Source organism: Homo sapiens, chromosome 17 (genome assembly GCF_000001405.40).
Source record: "Homo sapiens chromosome 17, GRCh38.p14 Primary Assembly".
In the NCBI taxonomy this organism is placed as follows: Eukaryota; Metazoa; Chordata; class Mammalia; order Primates; family Hominidae; genus Homo; species Homo sapiens.
In genome coordinates, this window is record NC_000017.11 from 81,256,335 (window position 1) to 81,279,636 (window position 23,302).

Consider the following 23,302-nt stretch of genomic DNA (forward strand, 5'->3'; position numbering starts at 1 on the left):
CAACCCCACATTCAAGGCTGGCGTCCACCCCAGACCGGAGGCCAGCACGGACGGGCGGGGAGGCCAGCGACGCTGCCGTCCGGACCCCAAGAGTCGGCAAGGTGGCTCTGCGGGCTGCCGGCTTGGACCCGCCATGGCTCCCTCTGTGCACTTTGTGATCAGTAAAGGTGGAGACAGTCACATCAGACGGCCCCCAGACGAAGTGACTTTTAAACACACTCCCGGCATCCCACGGACGGAGTGCCTCATCCACTCAAGTGCCGCCCCAAGTTCAGGAGGAGGCTCGGGATCCCAGGGCGCCACACTCGCAAGAGGTGAGAACAATGGCCGCTGACGTGACTTCAAAGCTAGTCCCTGCTTTTAGGCAACTTTTCTAAGAGCTGATTTCTGACTTTCCCTTGATGCTGCCATGAGAAAGTATTACTCATGAAGGGCTTGGCTTTACAGCCCAATCTTGAGCACACAGCTGACCAATGACCTCATGGTCTGATCTTTGCGAATGTGAGGGGGAATCCCAGGCTATCTGGCTCCTGGTACCCGGGTGTCTGGGCTGGCAACACAGCCAGGCCCTGGTACAGCCTCCGGCAGGCGGAACCTCCTCACCACTGCTTTTGCCTCCGCCGTGGCTGGCACCACTGCTGTCTCCTGGGAGGCGGGAGAGGCTCCCAGTTCCTTCCACAGAGCACCGAATGGTCCGTGAGAAACAGGGCCACATGCTTCTCCCTTCTCTCCTCTGACTGTGGGGACAACGCCACCCTGCTGGAGCTCTCCTGCATGCCCTACTGAGAAAGTTTTCTTTTTAAGAGACAGGGTCCCACTCTGTCACCCAGGCCGGAGTGCAGTGGTGCCATCTCGGCTCACTGCAGCCCTGACCTTCCAGGCTCAAGCGATCCTCCCACCTCAGCATCCAGCCACCATACCCAGCTAATTTCTGTATTTTTAGTAGAGACAGGGTTTCACCATGTTGGCTGGGCTGGTCTCAAACTCCTGACCTCAGGTGATCCTCCTGCCCTGGCCTCCCACAGTGCTGAGATTCCAGGTGTGAGCTGCTGTACCGGCCCGGAGAAGGCTTCTGATAGCTCCTTTGCTGTGTCCCCCGCGCCTCTCCTCCTCTTATAATTTTGTGTCATGTTTCTGTTGCTGTCCTGAGATGGCAGGGAGCTGATTCCATTGTCTGAGATCACCCCGCCATCCGTGCAGGACCTGGCCGAATTCCGAAGGGCCCTGCCTCCTGCAGCCTCTGGCCTGTGTTGAGCCACGTGACCTGCCTCCACGCATGGGGGCTGTGTGTCCCCGCTTGGGCCTGAGCACACAGAACTGTGGCCATCTCTGCCCCCGCACCAACACACACGACCCGTCGACACCCAGCAGACCCTCCTTCTGTCCCACATCACCGCATTCTGGGTCCCTTCTCAGCCAGGCCCCTGCCTCATTTTCCCACGGAGCGGAAGTGCAGCTGTGCCTGCCCCGCTGGGGGAGCGGGGACGAGGGTGCCCGAGGGGTGCGGGCCCTGCTGTGCTGCCCCATGCAGCAAGGGAGGGGCGTGCAGGCACCGGGAGGACAGGGGACCTGCAGCTCCAAGAAAGGAACAGATGTCACAAAACCCGAACCCAGCCCTAGCCTTCAGGGTGCTAGAGAGAGCAGGTACGAACGGCCCGACTCCCAGCTTTCAAGGTAACTGTCTTCATGAGCCTTTGCAGGGACTCAGCCATGCTCACAAAGGCCTGTGAAGCCGTGCATGGGGCCCCGGCTGTGCGCGTCTAACCACGACACATGACATCTGCATGAGGATGGGATTCACGGCCACAGCCCAGGGCCACGCAGGACTCTCACCCAGTCAGCAGGTACCATCTTTGGCCTCTGCAGCATCAAAGAGACCAATAAAACTCCGCTCAGCAGTCTGACAGGGAGCGCACATCGGTGCAGGACCCTCGACCCCAGCTCAGCCTCAGCCCGGCAGCCCATCTATCACGGGGGAGCCGGGGGCTGGAAAATCAGAGACACGCTAAAAACAAGCAGCATGTGGTTCTGAGAGGGGCCATGTGTTTTGTTACAGCCTCGTGGAAGAAACAGAAACCAGATGTGGCCTCGGAGGGCACCAGGTGAGCCGGAGGCCCACGGCCCGCACAAGCCTCATGACGGGATACAGCTGCTTGCACCGGCCGCAGGCAGAGGCGGCGCAGTGCTAAGGGGACGGGGAGCCTCCTGCTGGCTGGCACCGAGAAGTCCACTCCCCGGCAGCCTGCTGGACGAGGGCGACACCCCTCACTGCCCAGGGCTAGGGTCTCAGCACACTGGACTCTAGCTCCCAGGCTACCACAATCCCACCGACAGCTCCCATGTCAGCGCCCAGTCTAGCCCAGAGGCCTGGACAGCAGTAAGTGGCCCTGCTCAGGCAGGACCGAGCCTGGGGCACCAGCTGAGGTGGGAGCAAAACACCCACCTCCCTCTCCAGGTGGACGTTTTTCCAGTCCGAATTACCAAATCCAACGCAAGGCAGCTCCACCGGCTGCTTCGGAACACTCCCAGTTTCCTTCTCTGGTGACCCCTACTGTCCCCAAGCACAGCCCCGCCAGCTGCACGGAACCCAGAAGGCAGGGCTCCCCTGCCCACCTTCGCCATCCGGGAACAGTCATCCTTGGCAAATATGAGCACAGCGGATCCAGGAAGACCCTCGGAGAGTGTCCCTCGGGGCAGTTTGTATGAGGTGACAACGCTGGGAAGGAGCTTTCCAGGCACAGGAGTGCGGAGCTCAGAACAGAGATGACAACAAGCCCCAGGGTCACGGCTGAGATGGCGTCCCCACGCACTCAGCCGACGCCAGGGGCTCCCTTCAACGGACCTCTCCTCCTGTCTGTTACAGAAGTGGAGGCCCCTCCTGGAGGCGGAAGTCACTGGCCAGCACCTCCATAGCCGCCTGAGACCCCCAGCCAGAGCCGGCACTGCTCACTGGGGCTCCTCGGGTGGTGGGCAGATGACGCCCAGCGAATCTGACTGAGCCGGGGCCTCTGCAGAGGGGTGTGTTGGATATGGTCGGCACACGGGCAGTGTGGATGCATAAACCCAGCTGTCGTCAGAGGCAGAAGACCCCAGCGTGAAGGTCATCGTGGACAGCACCTACCTGCCCATCCCTGCCTGGTGCCACTCAGAGCTCGTGGGAGGGCTGGCCTGGGGAGGTCTGCTGCCTGCAGGGCCGCCTTGTGTGGCACTCCCTCTCTAGGCCTGGGAGGGTCAGGGAGGCAGTAGCCACCCAGGCCACGGAGCTGCGGCTGCACCTGGAAAGCCACACTCAGGAAACACGCATCTCTGCACCCCGGGCTGTGCCACAGACGGAGGCGTCAGGGTTATGGGGCGCTGCGGCCGGGACTCTGCCACAGACGGAGGGTCGAGGTTACAGGGCGCCACGGGGCCCCTCCTGAAGCGGCCTGCAGCTAGCTGCCTGAGGGCTCATGGTCCTAACTCCACCCACGGTCCTGGTGAACAAATAATAAATAACCTGAAGCAGCAAACCAAACTGAGGCCTGATCGCCGACCCTGTCCAGGAGAAAACTGGAGAAACTTACATCCTCAAATGAATAACAGCACGTGAGCAACACTCAGAAACGTACACCCCACCTAGCCCACCGAGTGGCAGGCATCCAGGCCAGCGGCCACTCCTGTCCCATGTTCCCTGCATACAGGTGGCCACTCCTGTCCCATGTTCCCTGCACACAGGCAGCCATGCCACAGCCAGCCATGGTGCACAGAGCATGTTCACAGGGGAGGCTGGTGGCCCCACCCTGCTGGCTGCACCCACACAGGACAGAGGCCACTGAGCAGGTAAGCACAATCCTCGGACCAGACCCAGGAGACACCCAGTGGGCACTTGCCCTGAGAAGGCTCAGAGAGCCAGGGTGGGCATACCTGAGAGCCGCGCTGCCTCCACCTTCATCAAACCCTCGGCCTCTCCAAGCCGGCCGCCAGGGGCTTCCTCTGCCAAGTCCTCGGGGACCTCCTCGCTCACAGACAGTGTGGTGACAGTGCTCACCACCAGGACGCCCAGGCCGACCCACAGCACCACCTGAGGAGACAAAGACCCCAGGGGCGGGAGTCACAGCTGGCCCCCGCCCCTGCCCAGGGTATAAAACTGGCCTGGCAGAGAGGCTCAGGGACGGGGTGAGGCACGAGGAGAGTGGACATGACAAAGTCCCCCGAGGACGGGACAGGCGTGCAGTCGGCCCTGCCTGAGGACAGGTGTCCACTCCCAGGGAGACGGGCCCACCTGCCCGCGAAGCTCCCGACCACTGGGAGAGGGCTGAGCCCTGATGCGCCGCTGCCAGAGCATGGCAGGACTCCTGGCATCCAGCCTGTGGCTGACGTGCCCTCCATGCCAGCTGGGGTCATGGGCCAATCCTGTCAGAGCTATGCCAGCCATTCAGGACGGAGCGGGAGGGACAGCGGCTTCCAGAAGCTGAAGGTACGTGACGAGCCTTAGGGGAGCAGAGGCTGAGCACTGCCCAACCTGCCTGGGAGAGGAACAGGAACCTCCAGGCAGACTTGAGCGTCCCCGTCCATGCTGTCCGCAAAGCGAGTGCTCCTGCACAACCCGCAAGGCTGGCCCCGTGCAGCAGACGCAGGCCCGTGCGCATGAAGGGCTTGCCCCAAAGTCATCACAGCTGGCACCATGCATGGGCACGGGGGACAGAAATGGCCTTCGCCTCTCCTTAGCTGTGGTGTGGTGCCCACTGGGGTCACCCTGTGAGCTGACCTCCAGGCACTCTTTGCCGAAGGCTCTCCCTGTGTGACCTAGTCCTCCCTCCTTCCCCCGCTCCCCGGCCAATCGTAAGCATCACACGTGCCGCCTCGGTGACTCTGACAAACTGTACACTGCTTGGCCCGGCTCCTGCCACCCCGGCTCCCGCCACCCCGGCTCCTGCCACCCCTGCTATGTTAGCGAACACACTGGGCCCACTCCTCCCCAGTCATTCACGGGGCCACGGCAGCGGGTGCTGGTTTCTGCCTGGCCTGGCCCAGCACAAGCTGCTCTCCCCAGGGAAGCGCTAACTCCCGGTTGGGCAGAGCCTGTGTGCACTGGCAAGGCGGACTTCTGTAGAGCCAAGGGGCTGTGCCATTCCCTCTGTGGTCTCAGAGCCAGAACTCAAAATCCTTTTCTGAAAGGTATGTCGATTCTTAAAGAAAATCAGTTCAGAAGAACTGGTGAGACCTCCCTGGTCCAATACAATTAGAGAAGAGGTCTCCCCAGAGGGAAGGACTCGTGCTCTCCGAAGCTGGTGGCAGCTGAAAAAGACAACCTAGTGGAGAGCCCGCTTCCTCTACTTCCTTCTCTGCCACCCGGAAACATTGGGCTGGTGTCGGCATCTCCGGACGCCAGGTGCTGCTGAGGCTCTGGGGTCAGTGGGCTCCGCCGAAGGGAGCCCGGCCGCAATGTGCCTCGGGGCTTGTAGGATGCCCAGGGAGCCCAAAGCCCCTCTGGCAGTAACCACAGCTGGCCGGAGCAAGCGGTGACGGCAGGCCTGCCCCAGGTGCACACGGGGACACTGTCTGATGTACGTTCCGGAGGTCCGGACGGGGCCTGCAGGCTCGACGGCCCACAGAGCTCTGCCCCGCCCTGGCCCCGAATGTTCTCCTCCATTTGTAGATGCCCCTTCAGCCATGTTACATCTTCCTTGCAGTGAAGGGAAGAGTCCCAGGGCAGTGGTGGTGTCTGGAAGGTGACCAAAGCAGTCTTAAGATAATAAAAAGAGGAAGAAACCGGAACTCTCGCGAGGCTGCCCGATCTGTGTAGGGAGCAGGTGTGGAACGGCCCGCCCAGTCAGTGGGTGGTGTGGATGGCCGTGGCTTAGAGGCCTGAGGCCGGAAGGAAAGGCCTTGCCTCTTACAGCCCTTGTGACCCCTCCTACGCCAGAGCTGCCCCGGGACCTCCATCTTCAAGGCCCTGCCCTCCCATCGAGGCCTCTGCCAGCCAGCACAGGGCAGAGACCAGGCTCGGGCTACCTGGGGTAAAGGGTCCGGATGGAAATTCAACCCGACCCACCAGGAAGCTGCCTGGACAGGAGACTGTGTTGTCTGGAAGCCCTGGGAAGCTCCTCTCAGTGTGGGAATCCTGCCCCGCAAGGCAGCATACCCTCGCCTCGTCCCGGGTGGATTTCTCTAACTGGGCGTGTGCTAAGTGCATCTCACATTTCTCCAGCTGAGGGTGGACAGAAATGACCTTGCAGAGAAGCTACAAAAAAAAATTTATCTCCCTACTTGGACTTCCCATAACACCAACACGCTAATTACGGGATCTTGGTGAGAGTACCTAAATGGGAAGGGAAAGCACCTTTGCCACCGGCTGGTCAGGACAGGAGACTCCCCAGGTGGGAATCCCAGGAGCCCAGAGTTTGCCATCCGCCAGGGAGCACAGCAAGACCCGGCCCCTCCAGGCCTCAAACGCTTTAGACCCAAAGATAAAGACATTGGTTGGTCATTTTATGTCAGGTTATTTTTAACGGGGACCTCATCTAAAACATCCATGGAGACTGATGGGCCAAAGAAACATCTCCATGACTATAATGATTTATTTCAACCCCCAACTTTCTGAGCTTAAAAATCACATGCAAAATCAAAACCATGAACTCACTCCATGCTGGGAGACAGCAAGCTTTCCAGGAAGACCCAGGACCGACGAGCCTTGGAAAGGACACAAGCGCAGGGAGGAGAACACGCTCGACCGAGGCCCTGCAGAGCGCCCTGAGTGCGAAGCTGATCGGCAGGGGAGGGGGGCTCCCGAACGGCTGCACAGGGACCCCCACCACCTGCCACCTCCCAGGGCAGTACCTGGGGACCGAACTCAGCCCCAAGTCCAAGAACATCTCGAAACACACTGTGGAGAAGTGGAGGCTTGAGGTCACCGTACACAGGGAGCCTGCATGGAATCTTTGGGCTGGGACAAGGGCGGGACAATTCCAGACACGCGGGTCCAGGAAGCAGACCCAACCCCGCCCGCTGCCACGTACACACCTGCTGCCACCTCCTACCCCAAGGCGTCCCCATCAGGAGAGCCATCCCTGGGCCCCCACAATGCACCAGACAGCACATTACTGCCGGCGAAACGCCACTCGGGACAAGCCCCCGGCGTGAGGGCAGCAGAGTAGCCCTGAACACTGAGATGGTGACGCCCCGGGCGCACCCCTGCCGGCTGGAAGGCTCCATCCCCTCTTTGCTGAGACCCCTCGTCCTGGCTCGCTGACTTTCAGGCTGTCAGGCTCTGCGGGGCACTTGCCGGTGACCACTGCCTTGAGCACAAGCAGCCGCTGGCCCGGCCGACAATGCCACAGTCCACATGCCCAGGCTTTCCTTTAAGACACACCCTGGCAGAGACACCAGCACTGCCCAGCTTGAGGGGACCCGTGGGAACGAGGAGGCCGCATGGGCACTTGTGATAGCGCCTTGGGTCCATGCCTCATCCATGAGGGGGCAGCGCATGCAGTGACCAAATCCCAGTCTGTGGCTGCCACGTGCCAGGAGTGTGTGTGAGCACCTTTCACTTCTGTGCCAGAGCCAGGGCGGGAACACGGACCCAGCAGCAGCAGCGGGCACTGGGCATGTGGAAGCAGCACAGCATTCACTGAAGTCCCCAAGGCAGCTGTGAGAACTCTGCCGGGGACTGGGCCACAGACACCACGGAGTGGACGCCGCAGTCCCCGAGGACAGGGTGGGTGCCAGGCTCCCCCGTGCTTGTCCTGCCACTGGAGTGTGGGAATCCAACCACGGGACGTGTGACATAGACAAGGGAACGGTCAGTAGTTCCCTCGGAATCCCGAATAAGGGCGTAAGTGGAGTTCTGCACAGACGGGATGGCCGGGAACTTGGGGGGCCTGTGGGGAGCACAGCGGCTGCCCAGCCTCAGTGGCGGGGGAAGCCCACGGAGCCCCAGCCCAGCCTCCAGCCCTGTACTTCCAGCACAGCTTCCTGCACAGCCTAAGAACTTCCTTTGAGGACGCGGTCATTCAACGGACCAGCGTGCCAGACACCTGGTTTCAGAGCACCCCGTGACTTTCATTTCGGCAGTTATCAGATCAATACAGCCGCAGAACCGGCCAGCAGGAGGAATGCAAGCCCACTCCAGACGTCTCACCTGAGCTTGGAAAATCCAGGGGCCTGACCAGGGGCCGCGCACTGCCCGGATCGTAGCACCCTCCCCCGGAGAAGTGATCAGGGCCTCCAGACACACAAGGCGTCGCTGACTCAAATGCAGAGAGAAGCACCAGGGGCAGGGGAGAAAACACTCACTTTCACTCCACACATGTAGAAAGTGCACAAGTCCACGCTCTGCACTTCAGCCATAAAAAGCACAGCTGGAGGTGGGGGCTCTGGCTGCTCTGCACCACGCGCCTCGATTTGGGTCTCAGGGCAGCCCAGCTGGCATCCAGGCACCACCCAGCAAGGCCCCGAGCCTCAGCAGGCCTTGGGGGTCCTCTCTGGTTACAAGCAGATGCCCCGCTGGTGGCTCGTGTCTGAGAGTCGCAGTGTGCATTTCACTGCATCTTCCAAGAGCAGGGGCCAGCTTTCAGGCCTTTCAGGGACTGCTGCCCTCTGGGCGCACCCGTGAGGCAGCCTCCCGCGCCCCAGGGATCTGTCCTCTGAGTGGCCCTCAGGCACCTTCTAAGCCACCTGCTGCTACACTCCCTCATGGTTCCAGGGCAGCAGGACCAAAGCCCCAGCCTCACTCAGGACTGGAGAGACCCTCAACTTTCTGACTTTCAAAATAAAGAACCAAACAGGGCGGGCGTGGTGGCTCACACCTATAATCCCAGCACTTTGGGAGGCCAAGGCGAGTGGATCACCTGAGGTCAGGAGTGTTCAAGACCAGCCTGGCCAACATGGTGAAACCGTGTCTCTACCAAAAATACAAAAAATTAGCCAGGTGTGGTGGCGCACGCCTGTAATCCCAGCTACTCGGGAGGCTGAGGCTGGACAATCACTTGAACCCAGGAGGCGGAGCTTGCAGTGAGCTGAGATCACACCACTGCACCCCAGCCTGGGCGACAGAGCGAGACTCTGTCTCAAAAAATAAAAAAAGAACAAAACACTTGGTGGCAAATGTATCTTTTCGATTCCCTCAGGGCCGACCTATTTTCCTGTCCCCTGGTTGATCTTCTGAGGACGAGCTGGAACATTCCTTCTTTTTCACGTCTTTCTCCAGCACAGCCTTGATTCACCTACTACACAGGTGTCCCCACTTCCCTGTCCACCCCAGCATATCACCAGTTGTGGCTCTTCCTGAGGTCCCTGGGCTGGGTACAGGCACCATATCGCTGAGAGTACTCAGACAGGCCAAGGCACAGATCCAGGCCTGTGCCCCTCCGTGGGCGCAGCCGGAGCCCCTGGGACAGTGGCCACGCCGAGATGTGGCGCCACAGGCCCAGGGTACGGCCTTGCGGTGCTGACATCTCCGTACCTAAGGAAACAGGGCATGCTGAGCGGATGGCACACGGTGGTCCGCTGGCCCCACGACCTACTGCGGAGCCGTAGGAGCGCTGGGGACAGGACGCACCAGACCCAAGTCAGAGGGAAAAAGAAACCTCTCCGTCTCCTCCACGCACAGCCAAACTGCGGTGAATGTGATTCAGTGCGCTTTCTAGCTTCCAAAAGACATGGCAAAGCAGGCACAGAGAGATGCTTCTTTCACCCAATTCTGTGTGTGTCTACACATGTCTACACACCAAGTCAAAAGCCGACACTGGGCTAACGGGTAAACACTAGAAGCCATCCCAGAGTCAGTGACGCGCCAGCCACTCACACCAGCAGCGCCGTGGCCACAGGTGTGTGACGCCACACACGGGCAAGAGAGGAGGAAGCGCTGCAGCAATTGGAAAGAGGGAGGCGACATCATCATTAGCTGCAGGTGAAAAGCCAAGAGATCCAGCAGGAGTACAGTAAGGTGAACGGGCGAAAATGTCACCTATGAAATCTCTAACTTCCCTTTACACAAACAGCCACTTAGAAAATCCAGGGGGAGGGCCGGACGCGGTGGCTCACGCCTGTAATCCCAGCACTTTGGGAGGCCGAGGCGGGCGGATCATGAGGTCAGGAGATCGAGACCATCCTGGCTAACATAGTGAAACCCCGTCTCTACTAAAAATACAAAAAATTAGCCGGGCATGGTTGCAGGCACCTGTAGTCCCAGCTATTCAAGAGACTGAGGCAGGAGAATGGCGTGAACCCAGGAGGAGGGGCTTGCAGTGAGCAGAGATCGTGCCACTGCACTCCAGCCTGGGCGACAGAGTGAGACTCCATCTCAAAAAAAAAAAAAAGAAAAAGAAAAAAAAAGAAAATCCAGCGGGAAAAGAGATCCCAGGATAGCATGCAGTGCAGCCAACAGCCACCTGGGAAACAGATGGGAACGAAGGACCTACAGTGAGGTCTGGATAAACCAAATGCAGTGCCTTCCTGCTGAGCAGGAGAGTTCGCAAGGACATCTGCACATCAGCTACAGTGTAAAGACGGCAATTCCCAAGTTAATCTATAGTTTCAATAAGCCCAGTTAGACCAAAAAATAAAAAGCAGGACTAATTTTTTGTTAGAGTCAGATGGGCTGATTCCAACATTCATACAGAAAATAAAACAAAGACTATGCAGAAAATGTATTATTAACAGCCAAGAGGCGAGATGAGAATTAAAGTGTTCCAAGAGCAACAAGTCACAACTCCGTGAGTGTTACCAGGGTGTGGCAACTAACACGCAACTAACATGCAACTAACATGCAACTAACACAGTACGGAAGGGCAGACCAGCCAATAAAGTAAAACACAGGTCCCAAGTTAGGCCCGAATACATATAAGAATTTAATCTACAATAGCACTAACATTTCCCATCAGTGATGGATTATTCAATAAATCATGTCTGACGACTAGGGAACCATCTAGAAATAAACTGAGGATACATACTTTGTTTCTTACACCAAAATAAAATACAGGTAGATCAAAGATTTAAATTAAAAAAATGAAGTCATTAAAGTACTAAAAAAATGAGGGAGGAATTATTTTAAAATAATACTGGAGTGGGGAAATTCTAACTATGGCCCTCCCCCTCCTTCTTCTTTTAAAATAGTACTGGAGTGTGGAAATTCTAACTATGACTCTTTCTTTCCTTCCTTCCTTCCTCCCTCCCTCCCTTCTTTCTTTCCTTCTTTCTCCTGCTAACTCACAGAACAGATGTTTTTTCTAAGGAAGCCCAATGGACTAAAACATGGGACCTGGCATAGCAGGACATGTGCCATCTGATGAGCAGAGGCTGAGGCTCTCATGCTATCTTAAGCTCCTAAAACTCACCAAGAAACTTCCTCATCAAGCTATGGCATAATAGCTGGTATCAAACTGGTCTTCCTATTTAAAACAATGGTAAAAGCTGAATAAAAACAATAAAAACACCCAACCAAAGACACTGGTAAACAGCTCTGTCAGCTCAGACTTGAGAGGTCCAGATCCCAGAGGACAGAGAAAAGCCCTTAGTCACAGAGAGGTCAAGCCTGTTGCCCTTGGAGACTCATCGATCATTGGGACTAAGCAGACAAGACAAGAGAGCACAACAGCCTAGAGCCTGGGCACACTCACAGGGCTGGGCACCGAGAAGCAAGAATGAGGGCGCTCCAGCAGCCAGAGCTCGAGGGAGAGAAGGAAACCTCGGAGAAGGACGCCACTCCACATTCTGTGTGCAAAAATCTCCCCCAAAGCACTTGCCAGCTATCAGCTATGCAGAGAGGAGCCAGCAAGATGATGAACGCCAAGCAGAAGATGAACGCCAAGCAGAAGATTCACCATTTGAGGGTGTCACTGCCCAGCTGAGACCCCAGAAGGGCTGTACCCTAGGAACAAGGCCAACTGAAAACACATTTGCCTCAATGGGACACAGGCCTTCTGCCTATCCCCTGTATGATGGATGAATGACAATGTCACCCAGAACTTCTACGATTTCTCAAACACAACATCTGCAAAATACCAGGCACACTAGAAAACAAGACCCCAGGACAAAAAAACAAGAAGCCACAAAGAATCAATATCAATACTTTTTTCTTTTTCTTCTTCTTTTTTTTCTTTTTTTTTTGAGACGGAGTCTTTTGCTCTGTTGCCCAGGCTGGAGTGCAGTGGTGCTATCTCGGCTCACTGCAACCTCCACCTCCCGGGTTCAAGTGATTCTCCTGCCTCAGCCTCCCAAAGTGCTGGGATTACAGGAGTGAGCCACCATGCCTGGCTCAATAATTACTATTTGAAACAACAATAACAATGTCTTGTGGAGTTTTAAATAAGGGTTGATATCAACTGCCTAGTATAATCATTAGAAGAATAGAAATGTACCAACAAGCCAAAAAAAGAGTAAATATTTAAAATGTTTGATTGATCCAAAGAAAGTAAAAGCAAAAACAGAAAAAGGACATATGAGACAAATAATAGGACATAAGTTGAAAGTTTTCCCTCAAAAATCAGTTATTATATTAACTGTAAATAGTCTTAAATACTCCCATTCACAGACTGAATAAGAACAAGACAAAAGTCAACTGCATGCTGTTATAAGAGACATACCATGAATATAATGGACTAGAGAAATCAAAAGAAAAGGGATGAAACAAGCTATCCTGTGCAAATACAAACCCAAAGCAGAACTAAGTTAGCTACAAAGCCAACTTTAAGGAGAAAAGTATTTCCAATGATAAAAAGGAGTATTTAACACGATAAAAGACAATTCAACAAGGAGATATAACCAACTTCAATCTGTCTGCTCCTAATAACATGGCTTCAAACTAAAAAGCAAAAAGTGATGGAACTAAAAGGAAAAATAAACAAATCTGCAGTTACAGTAGGAATTATCATACCTTTCTCACAACTCATAAACAAGATGATTAAAAAATCCATAAGGGGCTGGGTGTAGTGGCTCACGTCTATAATCCCAGCACTTTGGGAGGCTGAGGCGGGTGGATTATTTGAGGTCAGGATTTGAGACCAGCCTGACCAACATGGTAAAACCCTGTCTCTACTAAAAGTACAAAAATTAGCTGGGTGTGGTGGCACACACCTGGAATCCCAGCTACTCAGGAGGCTGAGGCAGGAGAATTGCTTGAACCCAGGAGGCAGAAGTTGCAGTGGACCTGAGCCAAGATGCTGAAGAAGTGGCTGACACACGTGGACGTGTATTCTAATGTACACTGTAAGAATCTATTTACCGCAACTTGAAGACAAGGCAAGATCATTCCAGAATGCCGGAGGACCTTTGGGGTGGGGGTGGATGTCAGTGAGGCATCCATAGGGAGCTCTGGGGTGCCGGGATGTCCTATGTCTGCTCTGGATGGTGGTTCCACGTGGTTCACTTTGTAAAAACTTATCAGGTTGAGGCCGGGCGCATTGGCTCACACCTGTAATCACAGCACTTTGGGAGGTGGAGGCGGGTGGATCACCTGAGGTCAAGAGTTCAAGACCAGCGTGACCAACACGGAGAAACCCCGTCTCACTAAAAATACAAAATTAGCCCGGCGTGGTGGCTACTCAGGAGGCTGAGGCAGGAGAATCACTTGAACCTGGGAGGCGGAGGTTGCAGTAAGCCGAGACTGCGCCACTGCACCCCAGCTTGGGCAACAAGAGTGAAACTCTGTCTCAAAAGAAAAAAAAAATTATCAATATATTCCAGTAAGAAAAAGCTCAACAACTCCATAAAAAGTGAGCAAAGAACACAAGCAGTTCACAGAAAAAGAAACGCAAGTGGCTTCTAAACCCATGAAAAGACACTCAAGTTCCCGCCAGAGAGGCCAAGAATGATGAAGCCTGGAAGGTCCTGGGTGCAGGGACAGAGGCCTTGAGCCTGGCTGGGAGTGACGCTGCAGGCACTTTGGGTAGAGCCACCACATTTACAGATGCTCACACCCCTGACACAGGATTCCATTTCTAGAAGGCTTCCTACAGACGCGTGCTCAAATACGTCGACATGCTCATGAACACAGATATTCATCGCGATTCTGTCTGCAATAGCAAGACTGGAGAGGTGAGTCCTTCGGAGACTGGGATTATGGAATCTTCCTACCACGGAACCCATGAAACGGCTAAAAATAGCGAGGCAGCTCTGTGCCCACGGCTGTGGAGCAACCTGACCTGCACAGGGTTTTGAGCAAAAGCAGCAGGAAGCTGTGTTACAGTTAAAGAAAAACCCACAAGCACGCACATCTCCGTGGGAGGGTCGCACCAGGAACAACGGTGGGTGGTGGCCTCAGGGGTGGGCGGCTGGGGAGGGGACTCAGAGGTGGCAGCAGGTCCATGGGCAATCAGGCATCGCAGAAACACCATGGGGAAAGCGCTTACGACTCAGCTAAGTCGGCTCTCAGGAAAACCCGATGCACAGCTTGAGCAGCTTAGTGTGGCCCTGCTGGGCAAAGACCGTGCGTCCTGGTGAACCCAGGGTTCCCCAGGCTGACTGGACCAAGTCCCTTTTGTGGGTTTTAAGTTTCTTGATAGAACCCATCTGAAAACGCTGAACCAGGGGCTTCCTCCCGCCTCCACCTCTCCCCAGCCCAGACCCATCAGCCCTCGTCCAGGCCACCCCACGAGCAGCACGCACCTGGGAGGAAAGTGCGTTCTTGTGGATTTTCTTGTAGATCAGCGCCGGGCAGATGAAGCAGATGAGGCTTCCCATGGTCGCTCCTGTGAGGCCCAGGATGGTCTCCACTAGGATGGAGAAGTGACAGGAAGGGATGAGTGGGGAAGGGCTCTGGGAAGGAGGGGACCTGAGCTTTTGCCCTGCACACGGGTGAGCAAGCCAGCATTGAAGGAAATGCCGTCTAGGCGTGAGCCGGGAGCAGAGACGCCCTCTGTGCCCAGAAAGCCTGACAACCGCGGCTGATTCCTCCAACAGTGCATTTAGGCCCCGGGGTGAATTCTCTGATGGTTCATCTTTAAAGAGTCAGACACTAGGGACCTCCTGCCGAAACCAGATGCTGGCTGCGCACGGCACGGCTCCTGCGCCGCCTCTCCTGCCTGCTGCTCCATGAGTGGCCCTAGGAAGGCAGGACCTATCCTAGGGCAGGTGTAGAGGCCAGGGCCTGGCGGGTGCTGCCAGGCTGCAGCCCCTGCCAGGAGCCCAGACAGATCGCCTCTAGGGCTGTTCCCTGGGGAGAGTGCGTGCGAGTTCCCCTGTGATGTCATCCTCTGATGACAACGAGCTCTGTCTTGTCTGCTAGGGAGTGGGTGCATTTGGGTAACATAAATATGTTCAGAGCCTTCAACGCTTCCCTTGGTAATGCATCACCAAAATCAGAAGTCAAAAGAATCAACAGGACAGCATGCGCTGTTCTAGAATAGTTGGTTCTACAAATTGAGCCTGTGTCCCGGCACTGCAGTCTCTCTCTGCCCAGGTGTCAATGGGTGCCTGCTGTTCCATCAAGCTGACAGATTTTTTTTTTTTTTTTTTTTTTGGCTGGAGTGTAGTGGAGCGATCTCAGCTCACTGCAAGCTTCGCCTCCCAGGTTCACGCCATTCTCCTGCCTCAGCCTCCCAAGTAGCTGGGACTACAGGCACCCGCCACCACGCCCGGCTAATTTTTTTGTATTTTTAGTAGAGACGGGGTTTCACCGTGTTAGCCAGGATGGTTTCGATCTCCTGACCTCGTGATCCGCCCGCCTCGGCCTCCCAAACTGCGGGGATTACAGGCGTGAGCCACTGCGCCCAGCAAGCTGCCAGATTTTTTTTTTTTTGAGACGAAGTTTCTCTCTTGTTGCCCAGCCTGGAGTGCAATGGCGCAATCTTGGCTCACTGCAAACTCCTCCTCCCGGGTTCAAGTGATTCTTTTGCCTCAGCCTCCCAAGTAGCTAGGATTACAGGCATGCACCATGACGCCCTGCTAATTTTGTATTTTTAGTAGAGACGGGGTTTCTCCACATTGGTCAGGCTGGTCTTGAACTCCCAACCTCAGGTGATCCACCCACCTCAACCTCCCAAAGTGCTGGGATTACAGGTGTGAGCCACCGCACCTGGCTCAAGTTGCCAGATTTTATCCCCTGCCTTTCTCTGTGGGCCAGAGAAAAACTGACAAAGTCTCTAGACTTTTTTAAGAGACCAGAGAAGATGGTCTCTGTGCAGGTCTCGTAACTGTGCAGGTCTTGGTTGATGCCGAAGCCCCGGGTCCCACTCCCCGGCAACAGGGCAGCCCTCCCGCCTTACCGTTGGGGATAAGGATGCCACCAACCATGGTTCCAAACACCACAGAGAGGGTAAGTGCTTTAAACCGGAGAGGGGGCATGTAGCCCCCTGCTGCAAAGGTGCCATCTTTTTGCTGTACAAAAGAAAAACAAAAGGTTTTGAAATGACTGATTTCCTCCACCACTCTCCTAGAAAGCAAAGCCTGAAAGGGCTCTGCCAGGCACACCAGGCACATCTCCACGTGAGGCCGGCCGCGCACTCACCTGGCAGGTGAGCCTGACCAGCACAATCAGATCTGGCTGAGCAACTTAAACGGGAACCTGCAGCATGCCAGGAAGGCACGAGGGCTTCTCACCCCAGGCACAGACCGTACATTTTACAACTTCCTTTTGAAATGTGAGTATCGAGTCCTTCCGTTTTCCTTTTTGCTTTTAGAGCAATACCACGAGAGTTTTTTAAGTGCCAGGAAGTATGGAGAGCAAAACACAGGCTGCACAGCGCCGCTCCTGACAAATGCCCCAGGACTCTCCTGGCCCACAGGTTTCAGGGTGCAGGCAGAACCCCCCCAAACACACGCACACATGGCCGTGTTATCTCCAGCAGATGTGCAACAAGCAGTGAGCAATTTCAAAGTCCAGGAAGAAGAAGAGAGAAGGGCACGATGAGGCCCTAATTTCAAGTGCCTGTTTTGGCCCCAGTGTGCAGCCAGGACTCTACTGATCTGCACCGGGATGCCAGGGCCATTCATTCCGGAGGAGGCGGCAGAGCCAAGGACGGATGGCCTCAGACGCCACCTGCCCCAGGACCCCCAGCTGTGGTCTCTAGTACAGGACACAGGAGCCAGACCACCTGGCTCAAATCCTTGCTCTGCCACTCACCAGCCCCACCTGTGTGTCCCTAGGCAAGTGACTTCTCGGTGCCTCAGTTTCCTCATCTGTCAACAGAAGCATCTCCTCATCCAGCCGTGGTAAGGACCAAATAAGTTAACACACAGGACGGACTGGCCGTGATGACTCTCCCTGGGCTAGGAAACAACTGCAGAACTTTCTAGAACTAGTTTTGAAGCATGCCATTTTCAGAATGGACTTTTACATAGGATGGACTGTGGAAGACGGAGCCAGAAGTTCCTATCGGCCTCAGGGCGGTAATTTGTATACAGGCCATGGAGGTGGGGGGTTAGGTCCATCACACAAGAGTCCCGGTCCTAGAACTTTACCTATGACATAGACCCAGAGAAGGGGAGAGGGGACTTTAGCACGAAGACTGTCGTGAGATGGTTAGCCACGAGAGGTCAAGGGTGAAGGAGCAGTGCACCCAGGCCCCCGCAACAGGTGGAGAAGCAAGGAAGCAGAGCCCCTGCAGGCTTGTAGGGACCGTGGAGAAACGCTCACGGCACATGGGCCGAAGACAAGAAAGCAGGTGGCATGGCCGCAGCCGCACCTCCGGGAAAGGAGCAGCCACGGGCGCTGACGGAGGAAACAGCCAGGTCCACCTTGGGATGAAGGGGGTTGCGTAAGCTTTCCTACTTGAGTCACAATACATTTAACGCCATTGTCAATTTTTTAACAAGATAAAAATGGGTCACGTACAGAAATACAGATGCTGCTCAGGTACAAAACATCAAACACTGAAAGTTGGCCTGGCCAGATGCGCGGAGGGACCCCACGGCCATATGACGGGCTCTGGCCTTGCCTCCTCGATCCTGCCTCACCCGTGCCCAGGTGCCTGAACTCCGCAGAAGAGAGGAGCACCAGCACGTGGGGGAGGCACCCAGTCTTTGGTGCTTGGCCTCTGCTGCGAAGCCAGAGGCACGTGGCTGGTGGAAGTCTGCAGGAGGCTGTGGTGACCGCACACCTGGCCACATGGACAGTGAGCCAATGCTATCGTTCCCAAGGCCCAGGGAGACCCACCGCCCCCAATGTGGCTGCTGGACTCTCCCCTGGATTCTCTGAGACCACTCAACCCGCCTTGGCTGAAACAGTTCAAGAGGAACGTGTGCCTCTAGCCACCAGGAGTTCCAGCTGAAGGGACATACCAGGCTCACAGATCTCAGGCTGCGGGACAGAAGATGGATGGGCCACCGGGCAGAGCTCCCAAGGGGAGGCAGGAGGGGAACCTGGACGGGGCAGGGCTCCTCCAGCACTGCAGAGTGGCGTCTGCACCCCCATGCTCGGAGCGCAAGACAGCACAGCGGGCCTTTCATGGTTCACTCTGCCGCAAGGAGAGAACCAGGACAGCCCCACGCTCGGGGCGAAAGACAGCGCAGCGGGCCTTTCATGGTTCACTCTGCCACAAGGAGAGAACCAGGACAGCCCTCTGGTTTCAACTCCTACAGCTGAAAGTTTCTTAGAAAGAACTAAGTAGCTGCCTGGCCTACATGTGTTACAGTGAAAAAACCCAGCCTCACTTTTTATTTTTCTTTCTCTTTTAGACACAGGGTCTCACTTTGTAGCCCAGGCTGGAGTATGGTGGAGCGGTCATGGCCCACTGCAGCCTTGAACTCTTGGTTCAAGTGATCCTCCTGCCTCAGCCTCCCGAGTCACTAGGACTACAGGCATGCGCTGCCATGCGTGGCTAATTTTTGTTAATTTTTTGTAAAGATGGAGTCAAGTGATGTTGCCCAGGCTAGTTTCAAACTCCTGGGCTTAAGCAATCCTCCCACCTCGCCCTCCCAAAGTGCTGGGATTACAGGTGTGAGCCACCATATCCAGCCTATTTTTAAAATGTGTTTAAAGACAGGGTCTTGCTCTGTTGCCCCAGCTGGAGTGTAGTGATGCATTCACACTCAGCCTCAACCTCCTGGACTCACACAACCTCGCCTCAGCCTCCTGAGGAGCTGGGACCACAGGCACCACCAATATGGCCTACATCAAACTCAGCCTCTCTTATGGTTCAAAAATCTGCTATATTGTTAAAATTTTTCAAAGTTACACAAAAGTCAAGAGAACTGTGCAGTGGGCCGGGCGCGGTGGCTCACGCCTGTAATCCCAGCACTTTGGGAGGCCGAGACGGGCGGATCACGAGGTCAGGAGATCGAGACCATCCTGGCTAACACGGTGAAACCCCATCTCTACTAAAAATACAAAAATTAGCCGGGCATGGTGGCGCGCGCCTGTAGTCCCAGCTACACGGGAGGCTGAGGCAGGAGAATGGCGTGAACCCGGGAGGCGGAGCTTGCAGTGAGTCGAGATCGCGCCACTGCACTCCAGCCTGGGCGACAGAGCGAAACTCCGTCTCAAAAAAAAAGAGAACTGTGCAGTGAACGCCATGTGCCCATCTCCAGACTCTGGCCATTATCAGCTCCTGCCCATCAATCTGGTTCCTCTAGGCTCCCCCAACTTCCGCCCTCCCGGGACTCCTCTGACGCAAATCCCCACTTTCCTGCTATATCTCTGGTTCGGGACAGCTGGGGGCTTATGGGAAGCGAGCCTGACCTGTGCTATTACGATCCGGAGAGTGCCCCGAGGGTCTTACCTGCTGCTCACACAGCAGCGTGCTCAGGGCCTGCCTGCATGGCAGGATCATCATGGGGAAGCCCACAGCCACTGACATCATGAAGCCCACACGGAGCATCTCCGTCACCAGGTTGGAGGGAAAGTGCATGAGCACGTTGCCGGCCGTGGCCTCGGTGAAGCTGACGTAGCCGAAAAACCCCACCTGTTGGAGAATAAGAAATGGCAACGTGGCAGACAGACATCCTAGCCGAGTGGCACCTGTCACAGTGGGCAGGGCATGGGGGGGACCTGTGCCCTGCCCCCCAGAATGGCCTTCAATCCACTTCATAATGAAGCTTCTGCAAGAGATGGCCTTCCAGGGGCAAGGCACCATTTCGCCTCCTCCTTCTAAAAATCTCTAGTTTCTGTAAGAACATGCCCATTTCTTTCTTTTTCTTTCTTTTTTTTTTTTTTTGAGACGGGGTCTCCCTCTGTAGACCAGGCTGGAGTGCAGTGGTGCGATCTTGGCCTCGGCGTACCTCTGCCTCCCCGGTCCTGGTTCAAGCAATTCTCCTGCCTCAGCCTCCCGAGTAGCCGGGTTTACATGCACGTGCCACCATGCCCAGCTAATTTTTGTATTTTTAGTAGAGACAGGGTTTCACCATGTTGGCCAGGCTGGTCTTGAACTCCTGACCTCATGATCTGCCCACCTCGGTCTCCCAAAGTGCTGGGATTACAGGTGTGAGCAACGGCGCCCGGCCGGAACATGCCCATTTCTACAGAGAATTAACAGAGGTCTTGGAGAGAGAGTAAGAGTGGCTCGGATAAAGGGTTCTGGGAGCAGCCCTGGTGCCCAGCTCCTCAGGTCAGGAGAGCTTCCTGGCCCAGGGTGGACCCAGGCTCACAGGGCTGGTCCTGGAATGATGGAAGCTGATGGAGCTGCCCCAGGTCCCCGCGCAGCCTCCAGACACTGGGATGGGAACAGAGAGAAAAACCCAGCAGCACACAGGGCCAGGGCCATGCCTGTGGCAGTCCCACGGGGCACCACGGCACATCATGCTGGCATGACACAGGGGCGGAGAGGGCGTGGCAAGGCTCTTACCATGACGTAGAAGGTGGTGACCACATTAAGGGAGGAAGCAAATATGGAGCTCATGGTTTTCACTGACGGCTCATCCAGGCTGTCGTAGGTGGGCAGCACCTGGCTGTATAGAAACAGGCCATTTCACAGCGGACCTGAGAGAGGCACGCCCTCCCCAGCGGCTCCACTTCTAGGACCTCTCTGCAGCCCAGTGAGAGTCTCTGACCTTCCTTCATGCAACATTCTCTGCACACTGGAAGTCCCAGCGCTGAGGCCAGGACTTGGTGTTGCTGAGGACAGGAGCGTTGCAGCAGCCCCCACTCAGGACACCCCCCAGAGCGTGCACCATGCGAACATTCCCCAAGGCTACAGAACGACAGGCTGCTGCTCCACGCCAGGGAGCGGGTGCTGAGAGTCAAAGCAGCCAGTTTACAGGGCAAGCAGCCGGAGGAGGCTGCTCAGAGAATCGCTGTCAAGAGGAGGGAAAGTTAAACAAACACACCCTGGCCTGGGCGGCCGGCCCATCTCGGCGCCTCCATCTCGGCGCCTCCGCACAGGCATGATCAGAGTCGGCACAGACAAGGAGGCGGCCTGGGGCGCGATTCCCCACTGCAGCCTCTCACTTGTGTGATGAGAAAACTGGCTTCGGTCCCACAGCCTGGTGCCAGGAGTGTGGTGCTGCTAGGGGTGGGAGGGACCCAAGCCACCAGCCAGGCAAGGACATGACAGCCCTGCACAGGCAGCAGACGCATCCGAGGGACCTGCACAGGGACCTGGGCCTCTGGAAAGGGGTGGGCGAGACGACAAGGGAGAGGCTGGGGCCATGGAGCATCTGTGTGCAGCCGGGGAGAAGGGAGTTGGGCCAGGCACACGCCAGAGCACAGGTGAGAGCTGCTCTGCCATGGGGCTGAACGAGGACTCTGGAGTGGGAGTCCAGGGGGGTGCTCCTAGGGTGTCCAGGTGGCCATGGCCATGGCTGTCCCAGGGCAGGGGCTCAAGGGCACAAAGGAAGCTAGGTGGGCCGGGGGAGGGCGGGATGCAGAAAGCCAGCAGCCAGTAAATGGACCAGCACAGCGGCCAGCGGAGCCAAATCCCAAACCGCCTTGAAGAAAGTGAAAGAAAACACAGGACATCACCAGCACAGCGGCCAGCGGAGCCAAATCCCAAACCGCCTTGAAGAAAGTGAAAGAAAACACAGGACATCCTGACTTTATTAAAAAGCAAACCAGGCCAGGCACAGCGGCTGACACCCAAATACCAGCACTTTGGGAGGCCGAGGCAGGAGGATCACTGGAGCCCGGGAGGTCGAGGCTACAGTGAGCTGTGATCGCATCACTGCACTCCAGCTTGGGTGACACAGCAGGACCCCATCTCCAAAAAAAAGAAAACCCAGCAGACTGACAAGTGAGAAGGTCCTGCCAGCAGCTGCTGGTGTCCCGTTGCCCAGGTCCTAGCACACCATCCCATCAGGCCGCCCTCAGCATGGAGTGCCATCAGCAGCAGTCAGGGGACCCCGCAGGACATGAGCCTTCCCCTCGGCCCAGGCTAGAAGGGAGCTAAGTGGCCAACGCCTGTGCACACAGCCCCAGGAGGCTGGCAGAGAATCAGGAGAAACACCCAAGAGGTCTCCACGGCCCTAGACCCACAGCTACAGAAGAAGGCCATGTTGCGGCATGAACTTCCCAGTGCTAAACTGTCCTCTCGCCACAGCTGAGTCCACACCAGGGAGTCTTGGCTTGAGGGGACCAGCGTTGGTGCCCCATGACACGTGCTTACCCCCAGCCCCCAATACACCCTGTGGGGAGTGACCCCCAAGGAAGCCACGGACACTGTGGGAAGGGGTGTCCCACGCACACGGGGTGGCCAGGGTGGAAGGCCAAGCCCCAGGCTCCTCTCCAATCCTGACCACCTACCCCAGGGACCCCCGGGATCATCCCTGGAAAGAAACAAGGTAGGAGCCACAAAACCTCCTGGCCACCTGCAAAGGAGCTCCACAGATGGGGGACATGCTGAGCGCTGGCCCATGGCCCCAGACGGAGCATCCCTGGCCCGCCCACCTTGCAAGGCAGCCTCTGAGCCTCAGGGCCTACCAGAGTCAAATGGAGCCATCCACATGCAGCTCTTGGGTGTGTGCCCCTCTGCCCTACTGTGAGGATGGGGACCCTGGTCTCCAGATAGACCCTGACCTCCAGGGCCTCCTGGGCTCAGTGCTGCCCGGCTGCTTCTCTGGGCCTAGGACAACCATTCTGCATAACCAGGTATGCATTTACCAAAAACGGCCAGATAGTGAAGGCACAAGGGAGACCTGGCCCCAGCTGGCATCCAGGCCAATCACACAGGCAGGGGGCGCGGCCCGCCACCCAACAGGGACAGGCACTCTGGTGCAGTGACGCTGTGGGAGGGAAGAGATGTCTCTGCTCTCAGAAAACATTCCTGGGTTCAGAGGTGGGGAGGTCAGCACGGCGGCCGGCACAGGGGTGGGGAGGTCAGCGCAGCGGCCAGCACAAGGAGGGATGTCCCTGCTGGGGAGAATGTCAGGTGAATCCGTGGGCCTGCACATCCTCAGGGCGGGACAGAAGGAAAGCTGCACTTGTTGAGCCGCACGCTCCAGCGCTTCAACCCAGCAC

The 23,302-nt window shown here is 56.3% G+C and overlaps 1 protein-coding gene across 6 annotated transcripts in view; it reads right to left on the reverse strand.

The window, feature by feature from the left end:
• The window catches only part of SLC38A10 (solute carrier family 38 member 10), a 50,497-nt gene that overhangs the window by 11,524 nt on the left and 15,671 nt on the right, over positions 1 to 23,302 (reverse strand). For all 6 annotated transcript variants that reach the window (NM_001037984.3, XM_005257019.2, XM_011524289.2 and 3 more), the window contains 5 exons: positions 20,697 to 20,799; positions 19,635 to 19,817; positions 16,182 to 16,293; positions 14,584 to 14,690; positions 3,904 to 4,060 (listed from right to left, as the gene is read on the reverse strand). In NM_001037984.3, the coding sequence (NP_001033073.1) occupies positions 3,904 to 4,060; positions 14,584 to 14,690; positions 16,182 to 16,293; positions 19,635 to 19,817; positions 20,697 to 20,799 (662 nt within the window). The remainder of the gene's footprint in view (positions 1 to 3,903; positions 4,061 to 14,583; positions 14,691 to 16,181; positions 16,294 to 19,634; positions 19,818 to 20,696; positions 20,800 to 23,302) is intronic.